The sequence below is a fragment of the Homo sapiens genome, chromosome 18 (genome assembly GCF_000001405.40).
Source record: "Homo sapiens chromosome 18, GRCh38.p14 Primary Assembly".
Taxonomy (NCBI): Eukaryota; Metazoa; Chordata; class Mammalia; order Primates; family Hominidae; genus Homo; species Homo sapiens.
Window position 1 is genome coordinate 25,061,482 of NC_000018.10, and position 15,654 is coordinate 25,077,135.

The 15,654-nt window shown below is 40.0% G+C and overlaps 1 protein-coding gene across 9 annotated transcripts in view; it reads right to left on the reverse strand.

Moving 5' to 3' along the window:
* Positions 1 to 442: 442 nt before the first annotated feature.
* ZNF521 (zinc finger protein 521) overlaps positions 443 to 15,654 on the reverse strand; it is a 290,243-nt gene continuing 275,031 nt past the window's right edge. For all 9 annotated transcript variants that reach the window (XM_017025697.3, NM_001308225.2, XM_011525909.4 and 6 more), the window contains one exon: positions 443 to 1,260. In XM_017025697.3, coding sequence (XP_016881186.1) covers positions 1,231 to 1,260 — 30 coding nt within the window. In that variant the 3' untranslated portion in view covers positions 443 to 1,230. The remainder of the gene's footprint in view (positions 1,261 to 15,654) is intronic.

The following is a 15,654-nucleotide window of genomic DNA, read 5'->3' on the forward strand; positions in this document are numbered from 1 at the left end:
CTACAACTAACAACCATCTGACTCCTTGCTCTGTGCTTTGTCTTCTGAATGAACAATGCTGCTTCTTAAGTACACATAAGCCAAACTGCCTCTCAAATTGCAGCCATCTACTTTGAGTTCAGATTTGCACAGCATGACATGAATTGGGCTGCAAATTATGCAGAAAACAGCCATCACATCCATCTGTGATGTCAGAATCCTCAAGTACAATGTGACCTGTTAGTATGTAACAGAGTAGAAGGATACTGTGTCTGATTCCTTCCCTATGAAGAGTGATGAATATCCTTCCAGATGCATTTGGCCCAGTGTGAAAAGGTTAAATATGATTGAGGTAATGCCTGTGATATGCTCAAGAGCAGATTTCATATCCAAGGGTGCAGGCAATTAGATTTTTTTTAATGGTGTAGTAACTAGAGAAAGAAAACACACAAATACACTCATACCTAATGGTAAACTGAATTTATTTCCTCTTGGAAAACAATTCCAGTAATCTCCAGGTTCAGACTGCAGAGTAAACATTAATAACAGTAACATACAGGTTAGTTCAACTGATTCAAGAATTTGGCTGCGTGAAATCATTAAGGAAAACCTTGAACACTCAAAGCTTCAAATGTATCCAGGGAAAAAAAAATTCTTTGACAGTCTACATAACAACTATTGCATATATAGTGATGCTACCTGTCACATTGCAAGGCTTACAAATATATATATACGGGCCTTATCCAGCTGTGGGGTTCTGTTCTGTGAGAACATCTCTTCATGGTTTGCAAGAATCTTCAGCAATAAAAAATAGTCTTGGATTTAAGCGCTGATATACCTAAAGAGAAATTCTAGGCTTAAGTGTAAAGAAAAGGAAGTCCAACCATAGTCTCATGTATAACAGTTGTTTTTAATCTTTCTTCCTTAAAAATACTTTATCTTAAGCCATTTTGGTCATAGTCTTTTTTTTTTTTTAATCTTGCCTGAATAGGGCCCAAGTCCACTTGTCTTTATAAGACCATTTTAGTATCAGACGACATAATACATGTGCAACACTTTATATACAAGGGGTCTATCCGGTGCGCAAAAGTTCAAACACATGAACATCCAACAGTTTGATAATACAAGTTTTATGGTACAATACAATGTTTCTGAATAATATACATTAACAATGAAAGTTTCGTGCAAAGAGTAAAACATGTTCCCTTTTTGTGCCACAAAATCAATTCTCCTTGAGAGACTGTACTTGCACTAACTGCTGTGTTGGGTCATTGTATGATTCTGTAAATAACAAAAAAAAAAAAAAAAAAAAAAAAAAAAAAAAAGAGAAGAGAGGGAAAACAAACTTCAGTGATTTCATTTTCATCAGACCAAGCATATATACATGTAATTAATTCATAATGACTTGAACAGAACAATGAGTTTCTGCCCTCTGATGAATAGTGCTCATGGGTGCCCTCTAATGTTAAAAAAAATCTAATGTTTCTTCCCCAGGGGGAAACAGACCCAGAGATCTTCTGAACCTGCTGTCACCCATGAGGGCCTGGAAGGAGAGGCCAGGGCAGAAGCCTCCTTAATGTGAGATGGCTGGCTGGCACCTTGCCTTTTCTCCACCTCTGCCATGCCTTTCTATAATACCCTCCCGCCATCCATCATCTCTTCTTATTAAGATACGACCCAGTGTTCAAGGAGCAGGTAGCACTGTTTTAACAGTTTTATGGATCTGTGCGTGATTTCCATTGGTTACATATGCCTCTGTTCCAATCCCTCTGAGACTGTAACATCTTGACAACAGGGGCTCTATCTGCCCCTGAATATGGGTATGAAATGCAAGAGTTAGCTGGCTGATGATGGACAGTGGGAGCAGCCCCCCTCCTGAGGGTGGGCTTTGGGCTGTGGTCATACCGTGGCTCAGGGGCAGATTACAGTAGCCCGCCAGGTCTCCCCTTGTCCCCGGATGCTCTTTCTCAGCTGACACAGCCTGTGCTGTATATTGGTGGTCCCTGCTCATCTATGCTAGCATGTCCCCTTTCTGAGTGAACACTCTCTTTCCAAATTGTGAGAGGGTAACTGGGATTGCTGGGCAACTCAGGACCACCAGCCAGGCCCTGAGGGTGGACGCCGGGTGGGAAAGTTGAGCTGAACCTCTGGTCATTCAGCCTGTATTCAGGGAGCAGGCAGTTTGCTAGTTGCTGTAAAGGATGAAGAGATAACCTGGTTCGCCAGGAACCAGGCCTGGATGATGGTCACAGATCTGCAGGATATTTGCCTGGAGCATAAGCCTGGAGATGGCCTGATCTCCACTCTCCTCCTCTGTGCTTTCCTGGAGCCATGTTCTCTCACTACTCACTTGTATCCCCTGACCCCAATCCCTTTGTATTACAACCTTGGGGCCCAGCTCAAAATATCACCACTTCCATCCTCACCCCATCTAACACTGATCTCTCCCTTCTCTGATTTCCTGCTGCACTTTATACTGCTTACATAGGATGCATCTTAGGTCTTGTCTCATGATTATTTGTAGGCCTGGCTCTCACTCATGCCAATAATTCCGATGTTCATTCATTTATTCATTCATCTACAAGCATCTATTGAAAACGCACATCAGCACCTGGCACATGCCAGAGCGCTGCAGTGCTCAGGAAAGAGGGTTTGGCTATCTCAGTGACTGGCTGGCAAGGCAAGGGCTACTGGAGAGGAAGGGCATGGTCCTTGCCTTCATGCCTTCAAAGTGCTCACAGTCTAAAGAAGGTCATGTGGGTACATAAAAGTAAAGCAAGATGGCAAGCAGTCTATTAGAAAAGAACACAGAAATGTCACGGATACACCTAAACCTGCCTAGCCATTGGGGAATGGTTCCAAGTGGATCCAGCATACTGACAGCCGGAGACATGAGCAGAGAGTACAGGGAGGGCACTCTAGGCCAAGGGACCCACATGGGTCAGGGCAATGAAACAGGAATATGCAAGGTACGTTTGCAGACCTGCAACTTGTTTAGATTGGATGAATTCTTCTGGAGTGTTCTGAATCAACAGTACTCACGAGACATGAAGATGGAGCTGGTTTGGGGCAAGAATATGAGCTGTCTTATCTACCTTGCTAAAGAGCTGAGACTGTCTTGTAGGTTAAGGGAGCCATTGGAGTATTTTAAGCAGAGGGATTCATCTTAGAGATGTTTGTTATCTCTTCATCCTTTACAGCAACTAGCAAACTGCCTGCTCCCTGAATACAGGCTGAATGACCAGAGGTTCAGCTGAGAACCAATTGGGGCTGCGTGCAGAAGTTGGCGGGGGGCTGGGAGCCTTGTGAAGAGGACTTAGGTCTTCCTTGTTCCATTTCAAATTTAGCTCATTTTTGAAAAAGATGGATGACAAATCATGATGCAGACCAGTATTTCACTCTCCCTTATTTAAAACATATCTTAATAGTCCCAGCCTCAGAGTGAATACAGGAAATAGCAAATTGTTTTTATGCCAGCTCTTTTATCTGTATATTGATTTTTAATACTTCTGAAAAGTACTTGTCACCGATATGTAGACAGAAAGGGTAATAAAAGTACTAATGAGACCGAAAAACTTTGCTATTTTCTGAAAAATCAACATGATTCTGTTCGGAAAGGTTATAAACAATAAAAGTTTGATTACTCAAAATACACCACATCTAAGCCTTCTTATACCTTTTGCTATCTCAGAGTCAAGTTTATAGAAAGGTTTTTTATTTTTAAAAAGTCCAAAAACAATGACCAAATAAGTACAAGAAGATACGATAATACAGATCGAGCACCTCCAAATGGGAAAATCCAAAATCCAAATACTCCAAAATCTGAAATTTTTGAGCACTGACATGATGGAATATAGGTGACTAAGCTAGTGACACCTTTGCTTTCTGCTGATTCAATGTACTGAAACTTTGTTTCATGCACAAAATTATTGAAAATATTGTGTAAAATGACCTTTGGGCTATGTGTATAAGGTATATAAGAAATATAAATGAATTTTGTGTTTAGACTTGGGTTGCATCCCCAAGACATCTCATTATGTATATGCAAATATGCCAAACTCTGAAATCGAAGACACTTCTGGTCCCAAGCATTTTAAAAAAGGAATACTCAACCTGTATTTACCTAAATGATAGGACTCTGACAGAAAGATGGGTGTTTTTTTCTTCTTACCAAATAAAAAAAAAAAACAGTTTAATTACATTATTTTCAAATGTTTAAGTGCTTATGATGGACACTCCACATGTGATTGGATTCTAGGGGTTAGTAAAAGAGTACACAGTGCAATTTTCCTGGTGTTTTTATATGTGCTCATATCAAGATGCTACAAGAACCCAAAACAAACTGCCCATAACAGTTGGCAATGGTTGTGTGTTGTATGCTTTCATCCTCAATCAAAGCCATACAAGTCTCTTCAGAGGTGCAAGGACATGAACAAATACACATACATCACTTACTACAACAGACTGAAGTTGTTTCATAAAGGAGTTATGTTTTGCATATAAGAGAGAGGAATATAAATCACTTGTGAGAAGGGCAAGGGTATGGCTTGTGAAATTCAAAAATAAAGCAACCCAATGTAAGTAATATCAACCTAAGAAATCTGGCATGAGAAATGTAAGGGCAGGAAGTCCTCTTGGTGTGGAGATGCCTGCAGACCACGGAGGTCTCTTATTCTCATTTTGTTTGGTTTCCCTTTTTTGCTCCAGCCCAACAGAGTGCTATGGCAGGGTGTCCCCAGGCCTGGCTGTCCACCATTGGCAGTGATGCTCATGGTGGAAGGCAGCACGTTCCTAGAGCTTCTTGGGCAATGGATATACTTGTGTTGGAAACAACCCCGCCATGGGATTCTGCTCCATCCTCAAGGGCTTGCCTTTGCCACCTTTGAGGATCCGGGGGATGTGTCTGTTCTCCTCCCCCACGCAGTATTTCAAGTCCACTGGAAATACAAATGGCCTCATTTCATTCTCTGGGGGAAGGAATGGAATATCTGAGCCATGGTTTATTCGATTGGCTTTTAGGTGTTGGTGAGAACAGATGCGAAGTCCTAGTCTCTGGTCTCGACTAAAGATTCTCTGAATAGAGCTTCATGGGAGCACTCAGTGTTTTTTGTGTTTTCTGATGCTCATAGACATTATTTCTTTAGAAAGGGAGACAAGAGGCAAGTGGGAAGGATAAAAAAGTAGACAGCAGAAGCGCCAAGCAAAGAGAGGGTAGGCTCTGAGGCCCAGTCTGCTCTCCCCCTGGCTACTTGCCACACCACAGAACCAGTCCTGAGACAGCAAGGACACAAATGCATATGAGCAGAAAGCGGAAAAATGCTGCCAGGCCATCCACAAGCAGCCTTCTCTCTGTGCAAGAGTTTTCAGCTCTTTAGGTCCAGAGGAAACCACTACACTAGAACAAAGCAGTGGGTAATCTCACCAATTTTACACAGCAATTCACAGTCCCTAAAGTACTTTAATGCAATGACAGGTTATGAGAAAAAATATCTGTTCCAATGAAGGGAAAGTGTTTTACATAATTGAGAAGAACATCAGTGCAACATTGGTGGAGGTGGGGGGTGAAGACAGAAAAGGAAGTAGGAAGAGAAGAAAACTTCTGTAATCCCACAGAGAGCCATATTCTACTCTGCAAAAAGCCATCTCCTGGAGACCCCATGTCTAAGTAACTGAAAATTGCAAACCATTAATCCCAGTTATGAACAGTTGTTTTACACGAGGGGGGTTTGTGTTAAAAAAAAATCAAATCCACAACATACCTTAAAGCTGAAAAGAAGATCCATCTAGGTATGATACCTTAATAGCGAGGTTTCAAAAACACTTTCTTTACTGTAAAGGGCCCCATCTGGAAGGAGTGTGCTGTATGTATTTTTTTTCTCTATAAATGTGAAATTAAACTTAGAAAGCTAAAAAACAGACGAGGGCCTTAAAAATTCCCTTCTAGCACTATGTATTTCTTTTTAAATATGAGATGCCTTTCATTTTACAAGACTGGAATTCTCATTTTGGGCTTGGCACTCTAACAAATGATTAATTCAGCCTCCTTTTTTTCTGAGAGCTGACCACATTTGCTGGTCAAACAGTTTAATCCTATTTAAAATGCAATCCAAGAAAAATATTTTTAAGTAAAAATAAAAATCCATGATCCTTTGAAACTGTTCACCTTGGCTAAAGACATTCCATTTTCCTGCAATCTTGATGTAAATTTGAATTTTTGCACCTACATCAATGATGAAATTCAGCTTTGGAGGAAAGCCAGGGGGAACCTATCTTCCTAGAGTTGAAAAATTAAATTCCCAACCCCAAAACTTATGCCCAGAGATTGCCTTCACTTTTCTAATTCTTTGGCAGAGACCGTGTCTCGTCTGTGCTTTGTAACACTCTGTTGGCATCGGCAAAATGTTACGTATCAGTGGTCATAAAAACAAAAATGGCATTTGAATGGAAGTTTTGTGAAATCTGTTGATTCAAAGATGTTAATCATTTTTACCATGACTTGTTTATTTATAGCCTTTTGTTTCAAACAAATTCTGACAAGCTTTTAAAACTAAGTAAAAGAGCCAGCACGCTATTTTAAAAAGGAATGAAAAAAAATAACAAGCTTTCCACCACTAATTCACTATGCCATTAGAAACCCGAATTTAAACTGCAGTTGTATTTAATTTAAATGAGATGTTTTCTAACTAGATGAAATAGTAGGCAATTGTGGCTCAGAAACAATGCAAGGTGGGAAGAAATAAAGAAATATAAAGATTAAATGTGGCTGTTTCTTTCAACAGATGGTGACAGCACCATGGCAGCATGTTGTTTTTTCTTTAGTTGAAGAACACAAACATCCGTAATCAATCATCACTGATTAACTAATTATATTACCCTTCCTTTTATCACTTGGGTTGGACCTTTATCCATAAACACTGAGGATAATCGGTATGCTCTTATTTTTCTGGAAGTATATTCTAGTTCACATACAGTCGTGCAGTTACAGGCTGCAAACAGAATTCTACATTACCGTCCACCTTTAAGCACTATTGCTTTTTTTCATTTTTAATTTTTTTTTTTAAACAAAAGCAATTGGTTTCCCACAGGCTGGATAATAAGTCTTTTGACCTGCATTCTTCTTTGACCCATTAAGGTCACCCCTGTGCTCGGGCATATAGCTGACTTAGGAAATGCCTGCAAGTCCTACATTTCATCTCCTGCCCACTCAAAATAAAGCTTTCTTTAAATGTGTCTGTACGGGTCCCTGAAGGCCAAAGAGGCATCCCTGTAGTGGGCAATGGAGGGACAGAAGCTTCTGCCTTTATTAATGAATGCAGACCATTATGAGTCTGGCTGGCTCCTTCCCCGTTCCCAGAAGCATATACTGTACGTGACTTAAAATGCTAGAATATTGACACAAAGCGAGCTGGGCACCCCTAAGGAAAATTACTCCTTGGATATAATGTAGGCTCCTAACAGCTATTAGAGTACAAAATAAAACCCTCCGGGATCAGACTGACATATACCGCATTCTACCTAGTCCTCAAACATTAGAAGAATTTCTTTGTGAAGGCATTCTCAAGGACAGCATTAAACTGACTTTTGTAGCAATCTGCAACAGCTTTTTGGCTTAGAGCTTTTAGTACTAAATCTCTGGTTCGAATCAATATAAGTACTATATCTTCTACATTAATCAATATATTTGGTTCAATACATATTCTATTAAATTATACTTTCTAATCAAGATTTTTACATTTCCATCCTCTCTCCTTTTCATTCCCAACTTCTTATGCTAGTAAAATAGTTTTAAAAGTGTATACAGCTAATGATGACAGGATCCTGGGTTATTTCCCCTGAACGTTAAGAGAAAAAATAGTCACAATGGCAAAGGGTGACCTTTAAGCATCTTAATAAGGTTAACAGGATGTGAATGTTAATAAATTAACATTTTCAAAGTCCACACAATTACAAAAGTACTCATAATTTTCAACTGATTAAAAGTAAATTGCTACGGCTCTGGGAGTACCATTAGGAATTTTCTAAAAATTACACTGAAGACCAAAATCACCCTCAAGTACCCTACTTTGCCCACCCCAAAGTTTCTACTGCCCACAACTATATAATTCCTGGCTGAGGAAATCTGGGGTAATTGTGTTTTTATGGACCTTACCAGGTAAACATCAGGACCATATCTGTGGATATTGCATTTTTGTGAGCTATGCTATAGTTCAATGCATATTTTTTAAAGGACAAATATACAGTATTTTCCCTAAGTGCTATGAGAATCGAAAAGACATATGCATAGTGGATTTTTTTCATAGCCAGGGAAGTTGACTCATAATCTTTACATTTGTAGAATCTGCTAGAATGAAGTTCTACTCTTTTATTATGACACAGCAATGGCATTTCCAAATTGTCATGTATGCTTTTGCCCCTCTCTTTAATGCCATGAATGTTGCATTTATGATCATGTTTGCACTGACAGAATTTCCCTTTTTATTTTTTCATATGGTAATGTCATCACCATGAACTTACAGAAACACTGATGCATTTTCTTTTGACATTTAACAGTTCACATGGGCTTGGTCTGACATCTCAAAGCATTTTCTGGATGACACTAAGCTATATTAAAGCAAAAGGTGAAATGGCATCATCAGAAGCGATCAGAAGAATACAAGATATTAAAGAAGGAAAAGGACTATTAGGACATTTGGTTTGTCCCCTTGTAGGAACATAATTGTTTGATAAAGTTTACACACTTAGGCCAGTTTTGAATGATTCTGGCAATGAAGTTGCTATCATACCTCCCATAGGAAACAATTTCGCATTCTAATAAACCTCACTGAAGGACATTTTTGTTGTTGTTCTCTGGACATTTGTGCTAACTACGTCCAGAAAAAGGGTGATCTGAGATAATCCTGAAGGATGAGGACACTGGCATGTTGATGAGTTTATGTTCCAAACACTAGACCATGTACCTATAGTATAAAAGTTCATCCATCTCATCCAAAGCAACCTAGAAGACCATCCAGTACACCATTTCTCAGTCATTACATAAAACACATCCCATTCACTTGCTTGGTTCCAGAGAGGAGCCTGAAAATAGATTTTAGAAGGCCAGTGGGGCTTGCCTTACACAAGCAGGGTTTCCCAACCTCAGCACTACTGACATTTGGCGCTGGACAATTCTTTGTTGCAGGGGGTTGTCCTGGGTATTGTAGGATGTTTAGCAGCATCCTCAGCCACTACTGCCAACATGCTAGTGGCATCTTCCCAGTTGTGACAAGCAGAAATGTCCCCTGACACTGCCACATATCTCTTGGTGGGAAGCATCTCTCCCACCAGGGAGATATTGAGGAACACTGCCTTATACTGTTTGAAAAACACTTGTGCATGAATAAATGAAAGCTGGGAAATAAGGAGGGTTCTGAATTTAAGGGTTTTGAAGAATTTGCAGGGAGGAACTGATCTAAAGGGGAAGAAGAAATGGTGGTCTATGAGGTGTGTTAAATAGCTGTAATGAGGAGGTCTTGTTAATGACCTGTCTTGTTATTGACAGGTTTAAATTAGAGGTCAGACACAGGAACAGGTGGTCATAAGGAAGGTATATAATTGTTTTGAATTTACTTTGTATTGAAAACACATTGAGCTTGCTATACCATGCTTGAGTATGCTACTTTGTCTTCATTATAAGATGGTATTTTCCCCATTTTAAAAAGAGAACTGCAAAGGGACACATATACCACATGAGACTGTACTGCAGTAAATATATACCGTACTGCAGTAAAACGTAGTCAATGGGTGAACGTGGGCAAGTATACAGAAACTGTAGAAAGAATTCTTCTGAGATATATAATGGCATTGTTTATGTAAAGAACCAAGTATTTCCAGAAGTGTTCATTCTTTTAGTGACTTATCAAGACCATCCATATACCATTGATGAACAAAGATGGTACGTTTTAGTGGCAATCAACCTATGCTGCTTTAGGGATATTTGCAATCTAATAATGTTTAAAGGTACCCAAATATTAAACTCTGGAAATCAGTATTTGGGGAATGGAAAAAACTATCTACTTTGAAAGAACTACAGAGCCATCATCCTCAATTTGTTGGTCTAGACTCAATGGCAGGTGAATCAACTACACCTGTAAGTAATACTGCAGAGAAAGAAAAAATTGGTTTCAGAGCTGGGGGTTGGGGGTGGTACATAGCAGCATCTGGTCCAGTATCTTATTTTATAGATGAGAAAATTAAGTCCCAGAGGGTTGAAGCCAACACTCAAGGTCTTAGAGTTAGTCCCACGGCTGGGCCAGCTGTACAGATAAAGGACACTCATTGCCATAGCCCAGACCTTCTATCTGGAGAGACAGGGTGCTCTAGGACACAGAGGAAGGGCCCTTCACCTTATGTCAGAGGCTTTGTTCTTGGAGGAGTCACACATGCCTGGTGCGGGAGAGATGAGGAGGCAGAGGTAAAAAGGGAGAGAATGGCCCCCGAAGTAGAGGGAAGAGCAGCAGCAAAGCTGAGAACCAGAGGGCAGAAGGCAGGGGGCAGAGGGCAGAGGGCAGGAACTGTGTAGGAGCTGAGGCATCTGGTGGAGCTGCAGATATGTCCGGCTGTGCCGGGAGGTAGGGAGTCAGTTCAAAAACGGCCTATTTTCACCACATTTTGCTATTTTCTGCAATATCAAACGAGCTGGAAAAGCCCATGGCGGTTACCATGTACCAAGAATACCCAGTTTGACCTTAGTCTAATGTGAGTCTTCAGAAGACTAAGCAAAGACTAATTATTTAAATAATGCTAAGTCCTAGTTGCTAACATAGAACAATTCCTAGTATTTTGACAATTAAACATTTTGGAGATATAAAACAAGCCCTTTAGTCCACCAGCTTCCAAAGGACAAATTCTGCTGTGACGTCATACGTGGGAAATGTTAACATCGTGACAATCCCATTTTCCATTAAGAACTTAAAAACAGTAGTAAAATTGTAGTTGCAAGCTGACCCCTATCTGTTGTGCATACCTGACAAGCTTGAAAATTTCCCTCTTTGCAACTGACAATAGCGTGCACTATGTACTACCTTGAGAGTGGGGGAAAAAGGTGCCGAAAGGGAAGAACAGGCGAAAAAGAGCAAAATGGCCACTGGGAAATATAGTAAAGAGTACGATGTTTATTTTTAAAAGAAAACAATGAATTGAGCTGTCTGTTTCCATGCAAGAAGCCAGCAGAAAATTTAAATCAAACTATATAAAGCCAGCACCAGTGAGAGGGAGAGTGTAAAGATTTCACTCAAGATTCTGGAATTGCAGGATTCCAGCGTACTGTGGGACAGAAGGCTTTGATAGGCAATACTGTCTAATAAGATATTCAGGGATTAAGTCAGTGCTTCACAGACAGATGTGTCCATGTGCCAGTTGTTGCTAAGCTTTAATTTTTTCCCCTGTAATGTTTAATTTATCACACTGGCGCTTTCTAAACTAGAACATCTGTAAACAAGGTTAAGAATGACCTCCTTCCAATTTTACATCCATGAACAGTGCCCCTTCTTCGTGCTCTAATTTTAGATACCTTAAAGATAAATAAATCTTTGGAAGGAAGAAAAAAGAAGGCTTGTCTGACATTGTAATGTGTTCATCTTGGGCGAATACAAATTTCCTCTCCGCCAGCTCTCGGTGCACACAACCAACTCTTGCTGCTGAAGCTATATTCAAGCATCCCCTTCCCAGTCAAACGCAATTAAACAAACTTCTGCTAAATATTTAACAGCCTTGTGTACCAATTAGCAGCAAATAATGGAAGCTTAAATTGATAATTGCTCAGAAATGTCCTCTTACAAACATTACAAAATTCCAACTCCTCCCTTTTCTCTTAGATTTTGAATCCCGGAAGGTTTTTGAAGAGAATTTAGTCAGCAAAATTAACTATAATCATATCACTTGGTCAAGATCTCAGAGTTAAGTTTGGCTGTTTTGCAGTCAGCTGCAAGATTCCACTGGCATCATTTACTTCACTTCCGTGTTTGAAATCCATTGAAATTTAGTTACACACTGAAAGATGGTGGAGCAGGGCATTGATTTAAAAACTGACTGGCAGGCTTAGGATTTAAACTCTGGTCCACCAGATTCAAAAGGTCATCTGATTAGAATGAGAGAAGCACAGGGCGTTGTAATTTATATTCAAAGGGTAACCTTTGTAGGAAGAAGGAGGGAGCCAAGACTCTTTCTGCTTTTCCACTTGATAGGGACACGGATTCCCTTCAACCAAATTCCAATAATTATGAAAAATAGTTTATTGAACTTGGGCAAAAAGCAAAAGAAATGCCACTTCCTTGTAGTGTATTATTTCTTTTATTAAAAACACTGCCACACTCCCTAGGAGGTAAACTCACATTAAGAGTAAGTCAAACATGTTATAAATCATTAAGAATAACAGAAAAACATCTTTCCCCACCGTAAGCCAAAAAAAAAAAAAGCTTGTCTACTATGGCATATGCTTTGGTAAAGATATATAAAAATAAAACTGTGAAAGGACAATGTATTAATTTAGATAAACTGTGTTAAGTATGAGCCACCTCCTGAGAGGTGTGTGTGCGTGCATGTGTGTGTCTGTGCACATGTGTGCGCACGCGTGTGTGCGTGCGTGTGTGCACGCGCACGGGAATATGCCTGTGCGCATGTCCATTTCCACGCCTAAGCGAGTGTTGCGCAGGGCAAAAAAAAAGAGTTACATACATGCATTGCTTCTACAGGTAAAATTCCTGGTGTTTGCCTTTGATCTTTCTGTCTCTCTGGGGACTTATTCCTGCATGGAGAATGCAATTAGAAGGAGCCCCAAGTAATTCTTGTTTTAAGATCTAAGCAAGCCCTTTAAAAATGCAAGTATTTCACAGGCCCAATTCTGTTTGGTTATCCCCTACTTTAAATAAAAAACCCAAGTTTGGAGAAGAGAAAACATTTCACACTCAAGTTTGGTGCTTTTTTCTTTTTGCCTGTGTGCTTGCTTTTCTTTCTCTTTTCCCTGTATGTTATTGTGTATTGTTGAAAATTTCAGGTCTCTTTCTTTAACGATCCCTCCCCACCCCCTAAAATCATCCCGGTTTATTAGCAAGTTCATACAGGCACAAAGAAGTCAGGAATGGTTGGGTGCATTTCCTATTCTCTATTAAACCTGTTCTTAAGATATATTTTTATTCTTTCTTGTCCACGATTTCCCATTGTCTTATACTCTTTAAGGTCTTAAAATGGCAGAGCTGCCCCCACTCTCTACCCTGCCAAGAAGAGCTTCTATTTGCTTCAGAAACCCACACGTGAAGTTCCCATTCTCCTCTCACTTCCTGGGCACCTTTTCTGGCTTTACTTCTAGGTCTCTGTGGGACAGTTTCCTCACCCCTTATGGTGCACAGAGCTACTGGAAAGAGAACCCTTTAATTCCTCCACGCAGAGATGTGCTGTAGCTATGGTGAGAGTAATCTATAACCCTCACATCCTTAAATAATTTGCTACTCCAAGTTAATTTTAATTCATTACAATAAAGCAATATAATTAAAAAAATCTCTTTAAAGTGAAGTATTTAACATGATCCTGAAAGAAAGACAGTCCTGACTAACAGAGGGCCAGGCGGCAGGCATGGTGCAAACTCATGCAAATTCAAAGGTGAGCCGTAAACAAGAACACACAGCAACACTGCCATGCATAAAGGGCCAGGCAACGGGAGGCCTCATTCTAATCAGTCCTCAAAGGAACCTGCCATACAGAAGTGGCACTTATTCTAATTTAAAGCCCTCATGCTTGCTTCAGTGTTGCAAAATTTATAAAAGAATAACTTCATTAAACCGCCTGGCATTTCAAACACAAATGCAAACCAGCCACAACACAGAAGGAGCTGGACAAGAGGAAGAGAAATATTCCCAGAGAGTTGTTAGCTCAGATATTAAAATAGAGTCTGCATTGTGGTGCTTCTCTTTCCGTGCAACTTTCCTTCACCAATGACTCCTGCCACCGGGCTCTTTACTTCTGTCACAAGTCCTGTTGCTCCTGTGAGTTTGCTTAATAACACTGAAAATCATTCAAAGCGGTTTGGCGAGCCCAGTCACATGCAGAAATACATCTGGCAGTACATAAATGAACGCTATTCAATGTTCCTTGCCTGGCCTGCAGAGGAGATTGATTCTGAACACACCACTATTACAGTTCCCATTTACTTGGGTATATATTTCAGACTCACCTAAGTTGTTGAAAAACTAATGGAAGAAAAAATTTCTTCTCCTTAACCCTGGCACTCAAGAAAGAAAACAATAATAAGGGTTAAGTGGAAACAGTCTACTGAATCCACGCACGGCGCAGGAGAAAAGTTATTGTCACATCCTAAAACATATGCTTTAAAGGGAACTTCTTTTTCTCCCCTGAATCAGAGTCCTAGAAACGCTACAGAAAAATTACTTCAGGCTAGATTCCTAAGCTGCAATGCAGTGTGTGTCAGAACACACATCATTTCATGCTGAACTGTCAGCATATTTCTCAAAATCATTTTTTTTTGGAATGCAATGAAACGACAAATCTGGAAGCCTGTATAAAACCTCCAAGCCTCTGAGAAAGTATGTGTCACCCACAAGTTAAACTAAGCATCATGATCTTGAGAGATCCCAGTAATGAACCACTCCTTTCCTGCTCAGTGTTTCTCATCACCTTAGTGGGCACAAATCTGTGCTAAGATTTTGCTTCAGAGAACACAGTGAGCGTTCAAAAACCTCGAAAATGGTAATCCGTGGATGAATAAGAGGAAATGGCCTTAGGGTAAGTAAAAGGTGAATCTCTCCAAGGGTTATAAAAGAAAAAGACTGTTTATCCCAGTTGTTTTTCAGAATTCTGGAGTGGGATTCTTGCTGTTGGTTGGAAGAAAGACCTGTTACAGGGTGCTCAGACCAGGCTGACCGGAGACCAGTTCCACGCAATGGATGTGAAACTTAAAGTTGTCACCAAAAATTGCAGGATGATAGGAGTCATATTCTTCTTAGGGTAAACAAATATTGAAATGAATTATCTCTTATCCCTATGCAATTGTTTTATAGTGCTGGAAGCTTTTTATATCCAAATAATGCAATATTTTGGTGAAGGTAAGTTTGTATTCTTTTTTCTCTCCATGAATACAATCGAGCTAATCAGATGGAATGAATGAGCCAATTCACTTACAGGCAGCCTTTATTATATAATAAAATATGGATTATTGATCTTGTGGAGTTGGCAATTGCATGATGCAAATTCAGTGAAGGAAACCTCCAATATTGGAATTTGAGGCTATTTGTATTGACGCTTGAATCTACCTGAACTATTTTCACTTTTGAAAAACCATCAAAATAAAACAACACTAAAACTAATTAAACCCAGTGTTCCAAAAAGGACAAAGAAAAGTTAACACAGAGGCCTGGGATGGAAGGCTGGGATGGCCCCCTTATAGGGTATAATCCCTTGTTCTGTTCCAACGGAGGGAGAAGAAACAGGCAGGCTCTTTGGGCCTGTCTGTGGAGTAGTGAGTACAAACTTATTTGCTAGACCCAAATGTACTGCCTAGGCAGCTTGCTACAAATCCTACCCAGCCCTGTAATAAGAGTCAGTGTATTGTTGTGGCCCTCACACTTGTGAGGCAGACTTGTTTAAAATACAACACTGGGCTGTCCTAGCAAAATCCTTTCATCTCTT